This window comes from Homo sapiens, chromosome 19, assembly GCF_000001405.40.
Source record: "Homo sapiens chromosome 19, GRCh38.p14 Primary Assembly".
NCBI lineage: Eukaryota > Metazoa > Chordata > Mammalia > Primates > Hominidae > Homo > Homo sapiens.
The window spans coordinates 14,274,599-14,280,035 of NC_000019.10; the positions used below are offsets into that span (position 1 = coordinate 14,274,599).

A 5,437-nucleotide genomic window follows, 5' to 3' on the forward strand; every position below is an offset into this window, starting at 1 on the left:
TGACTTCATTTGGTCATTCCCACAATGAATAAGTTAGTTCTAGGATCTTGGAGCAAACATGTCTGTATTAGTCTGTTTTCACACCGCTATAAAGAACTATGTGAGAGTGAGTAATTTATGAAGAAAAAAGGTTTAATTGACTCACAGTTCCGCATGGCTGATGGGGCCTCAGGAAACTTACAATCATGACAAAAAGTGAAGGGAAAGCAAGGCACATCGTACATGGAGGCAGGGGAGAGAGAGAGAGAGAGAGAGAGAGAGAGAGAGGAGAGAGAGAGAGAGAGAGAGAGAGAGAGAGAGAGAGAGAGAGAGAGAGAGAGAGAGAGAGGAAGTGCCAGACGCTTATCAAACAACCAGATCTGGTGAGAACTCATTGTCACGAGAATAGCAAGGGGGAAATGCTCCCGTGATCCAATCTCCTCCCACCAGGTCCCTCCCCTCGACACGTGGGGATTACAATTCTAGATGCGATTTGGGTGGAGACACAGTCAAACATGTCAGTGTTCTTTCTCTAAGGCTCCATTTTGTCCTCTGTAAAATGGGGTGAGAGGCCCCTACTTAACTGCACGAGCTTGCTCTGCAATTAAAATTGCATGTCATGGGCCAAGGGACTTTGAAAGTGGGACAGCTCCTGCAGGTGCTTTTGGCTGGAGTCACAGGATCCAAAACCCCCCAGTAATCCCCACATCTTTCCTTTCTTTTCTCTCTCTTTTCTTTTTTCTCTTTCTCTTTCTTTCTTTTCTTTCTCTCTTTCTTTTTCTCTTTCTTCCCCCTCTCTCCTTCCCTTCCCTTCCCTCCCTCCCTCCCTTCCTTTTCCTTTTTTCTGAGAAAGAGTCTCGCTCTTATCACCCAGGCTGGAGTGCAGTTTCGTGATCTTGGCTCACTGCAACGTCTGCCTCCTGGATTCAAGCTGTTCTCCTGCCTCAGCCTCCTGAGTAGCTGGGATTACAAGCGCCCACCACCACGCTCAGCTAATTTTTGTACTCTTAGTAGAGATAGGGTTTTGACATGTTGACCAGGCTGGTCTCGAACTCCTAACCTCAGGTGATCCGCCCACCTTGGCCTCCCAAAGTGCTGGGAATACAGGTGTAAGCTACTGCGCCCAGCCCTTTTCTTTCTTTCTTTTTTTTTTTTTTTTGAGACAGAGTCTCACTGTGTTGCCCAGGCTGGAGTGCAGTAGTGTGTTCTCAGCTCACTGCAACCTTCACCTCCCGGGTTCAAGCTATTCTCCTGCCTCAGCCTCCTGAGTAGCTGGGATAACAGGTGCCTGCCACCAAGCCCGGTTAATTTTTGTACTTTTAGTAGAGACAGGGTTTCACCATGTTAGCCAGGCTGGTCTGAAACTCCTTACTGTCAGGACTCTGAGCCCAAGCTAAGCCATCATAACCCCTGTGACCTGCACGTATACATCCAGACGGCCTGAAGCAACTGAAGAACCACAAAAAAAGTGAAATAGTCAATTCCTGCCTTAACTGGCTAATGGTGGATGACATTCCACCATTGTGATTTGTTCCTGCCCCACCCTAACTGATCAATTGACTTTGTGACATTCCTTCTCCTGGACAATGAGTCTCAGGAGCTCCCCACCGAGCACCTTGTGACCCCCGCCCCTGCCCACAAGAGAAAACCCCGTTTAACTGTAATTTTCCACTACCTACCCAAATCCTATAAAACTGCCCCACCCCTTTGCTGACTCCTTTTTTGGACTCAGTCCGCCTGCACCCAGGTGATTAAAAAGCTTTATTGCTTACAGAAAGCCTGTTTGGTGGTCTCGTCATATGGACGCATGTAATACTGACCTCAGGTGATCTGGCTGCCTCAACCTCCCAAAGTGCTGGGATTACAGGTGTGAGCCACTGTGTCTGGCCCTTTTCTTTCTTTTTAGTGGAAATGGGGTCTTGCCATGTTGGTCAGGCTGGTCTCGAACTCCTGGCCTCAAGCAATCCTCCCTCCTCAGCCTCCCAAAGTGCTGGGATTATAAGCATGAGCCACTGCACCCAGCTACCTTTCTCAGTTCTGCCTTAATGTCTCACGTGGCTGTTTTCCTTTTCTCTTGTGTATTCTTTCCTCCCCCTCTGTCTTCTTGCTTTTTTTTTTTTTTTTTTTTTGAGAGAGAGTCTCATTCTGTCACTCAGACTGGAGTGCAGTGGTGTGATCTTGGCTCATTGCAACCTCTGCCTCCCATGTTCAAACGATTCTCCCACCTCAGCCTCCCAAGTAGTTGGGACTACAGGCGCACGCAATCATACCCAGCTAATTTTTGTATTTTTAGTAGAGACAGGGTTTCACCATGTTGGTCAGGCTGGTCTTGAACTCCTGACCTCAAGTGATCCGCCCACCTCAGCCTCCCAAAGTGCTGGGATTACAGGCGTGAGCCACCGCTCCCAGCCTCTACTTGCTTTTTCCTTCTCACACCTCTCTCTTCTCTTCTGGTTCCCTCTCCCAGCCTTCTCTCTGCACCTCCTCCCCTGCCACTTGCTCTCTTCAAACTCGGGGATGTGAGAAAGTTCCCGCAGAAATTGCAATCTCCTCTCCTCTCATGTGGCTCCGAGATAAGACAGTAAAAATCCGATTTTCAGCAATTTGCTTCATTTGTGAGCTCTCCGGAGTCTCCCTTTCTCCCCCTGACATAAGCTTAGCAAAATTGCCTGGGTGGAGTGGATATTTTTAACCACTTAGTAGTCAGAGCGGGTTCAGAAAGTTTTGCAAGAAACCGGGCCAGGCCCTGTGCCTGGGGTTGCTGGCGGGTTTGGGGCTGGAGGGAAGCACGTGGGGTGGCCTCAAAGGGTTTAGTGGAGGGGCATTTAAGAAGAGGATGTCCGCCGGCCATGGTGGCTCAAGCCTGTAATCCCAGTGAGAGGTGACAGTGTGCTGGCAGCCCTCGCAGCCCTCGCTCGCTCTCGGCGCCTCCTGGGCCTCAGGCGCCCACTCTAGCCGCGCTTGAGGGGCCCTTCAGCCTGCGGCTGCAATGTGGGAACCCCTCTCTGGGTTGGCTGAGGCCGGAGCCAGCTCCCTCAGCTTGTGGGGAGGTGCGGACTGGTGGAAACCAGGGCTGCCCGCTGCACTTGCAGGCCAGCGTGAGTTCCAGGTGGGTGTGGGCTCCGTGGCCCCGCACTCGGAGCAGCAGGCTGGCGCTGCCGGCCCTGGGCAGTGAGGGGCTTGGCACCCGGGCCAGCAGCTGCGGAGGGTTCGCCGGGTCCCGGCGCTGTGCTCGAATTCTCGCTGGGCCTCAGCTACCTCCCCGCCGGGCAGGGCTCGGGATCTGCAGCCTGCCATGCTTGAGCCTTCCCCCAACGCCATGGCCTCTTGTGCGGCCTGAGCCTCCCCTACCAGCGCCGCCCCCTGCTCCGCGGCGCCGGGTCCCACCGACCACCCAAGAGCTGAGAAGTGCGGGCGCACAGCGCGGGACTGGCAGGCAGCTCCACCTGCTGCCCTGGTGCGGGATCCACTATGTGAAGCCAGCTGGACTCCTGAGTCCAGTGGGACTTGGAGAACCTTTATGTCTAGCTAAGGGATTGTAAATATACCAATCAGCACTCTGTCTAGCTCAAGGCTTGTAAATGCACCAATTAGCACTCTGTGTCTAGCTCAAGATTTGTAAATACACCAATCAGCACTCTGTGTCTAGCTCAAGGTTTGCACTCTGTATCTAGCTAATATGGTGGGGACTTGGAGAACCTTTAGTGTCTAGCTAAGGGATTGTAAATACACCAATCAGCACTCTCTGTCTAGCTCAAGGTTTGTAAATGCACCAATCAGTGCTCTGTGTCTGGCTAATCTAGTGGGGACTTGGAGAACTTTTGTGCCTAGCTCAGGGATTGTAAACGCACTAATTGGCACCCTGTCAAAATGGACCAATCAGCTCTCTGTAAAACGGACCAATCAGCAGGATGTGGGTGGGGCCAGATAAGGGAATAAAAGCAGGCTGCCCGAGCTAGCAGTGCCAACCTGCTCCCATTCCCGTCCATGGTGTGGAAGTTTTGTTCTTTTGCTCTTTGCAATAAATCTTACTGCTGCACACTCTTTGGGTCTGCATTGCGTTTATGAGCTGTGACACTCACCGCGAAGGTCTACAGCTTCACTCCTGAGGCCAGTGAGACCAGGAACCCACCGGGAGGAATGAACAACTACAGACGTGCTGCCTTAAGAGCTGCAACACTCGCCGTGAAGGTCTGCAGCTTCACTGCCGAAGCCAGCGGGACCACCAGCCCGCCAGAAAGAAGAAATTCCAAACACATCCGAACATCAGAAGGAACAAACTCCCGACACACCACCTTTAAGAACTGTAATACTGCAAGGGTCTGCGGCTTCGTTCTTGAAGTCAGTGAGACCAAGAACCCACTGATTCTGGACACACCAGTACTTTGGGAGGCCAAGGCGGGTGGATCATGTGAGGTCCTGTTCAAGACTAGCCTGGCCAACAGGATGAAACACCGTCTCTACTAAAAATACAGAAAATTAGCCAGGCATGGTAGCACATGCCTTGTCTATAGTCCCAGCCGCTCAGGAGACTGAGGCAGGAGAATTGCTTGAACCCGGGAGGTGGAGGTTGCAGTGAGCTGAGATCGCGCCACTGCACTCCAGCCTGGGTGATGGAGTGAGACTCTGTCTCAAAAAAAAAGAAAAAAAATGGATGTGACTGAAGAAAGAAAAGAGGTTCCCTTTGGAAGAAGCAGATCTGCTCTTGAGGGGGTGAAGCTGCAGGGGAACGCCCAGGCTTTTTCCCTCCCACCAGTACCTCCTTTTGGCTGAATCCAACCCCAAAGCAGAGGGCAATGGAGCCCAGTGGTGTGGGCCTAGAGGTCAGCTCTCAGGACATAGAACAGGATGGTTGGCCGGACGCAGTGGCTCATGCCTGTAATCTCAGCACTGTGGGAGGCAGAGATAGGAGAATTGCTTGAACCTGGGAGGCGGAGGTTGCAGTGAGCTGAGATCACTCCACTGCACTCCAGCCTGGGAGACAGAGCAAGACTCTGTCTCAAAAAAAAGAAAAAAAAAAAACACCAAAAAACAGGATTGGACTGCAGATTGATGGAACCTGGGGTAGGTAACAGGAATAGAGAATGACCTGCATAGAAGCCACATGTCCTAACTTCCTAATACACCTTAGGGATACCCCTGAGAAGCCAGTCTGGAGACCAAAGGCATCTCCTTCCCAAAACCAAAATGGGGGGTGGGAATAATGAACATTTAGTGAGCACCTACCATGTACCAGGCATATGCTAAGTGCTTTATGTGTACGACGTCATTGAATCCCCACAGAAGTCAATGAAGGAAGCCTTTTTCTTTGTTGGCTGCTGGGACAAAAATCAAAATCACAGTGGCTCAAGGAATTAATATAGAATCAGGGTCTCGCTCTCTTGCCCAGGCTAGCGTGTAGGGGCACAATCATGGCTCACTACAGTTTTGACCTCCCTAGGCTCAAGCGATCCTCCCA

The 5,437-nt window shown here is 51.5% G+C and overlaps 1 annotated feature.

The window, feature by feature from the left end:
- Positions 3,319 to 3,613: a silencer, noted in NCBI's record as "tiled region #1520; HepG2 Repressive non-DNase unmatched - State 9:DNaseU, and K562 Repressive non-DNase unmatched - State 22:ReprW". NCBI's record gives its function as "represses a minimal TATA promoter and a strong SV40 promoter by Sharpr-MPRA in HepG2 and K562 cells {active_cell/tissue: HepG2 | K562}" and the evidence as "EXISTENCE:reporter gene assay evidence [ECO:0000049][PMID:27701403]".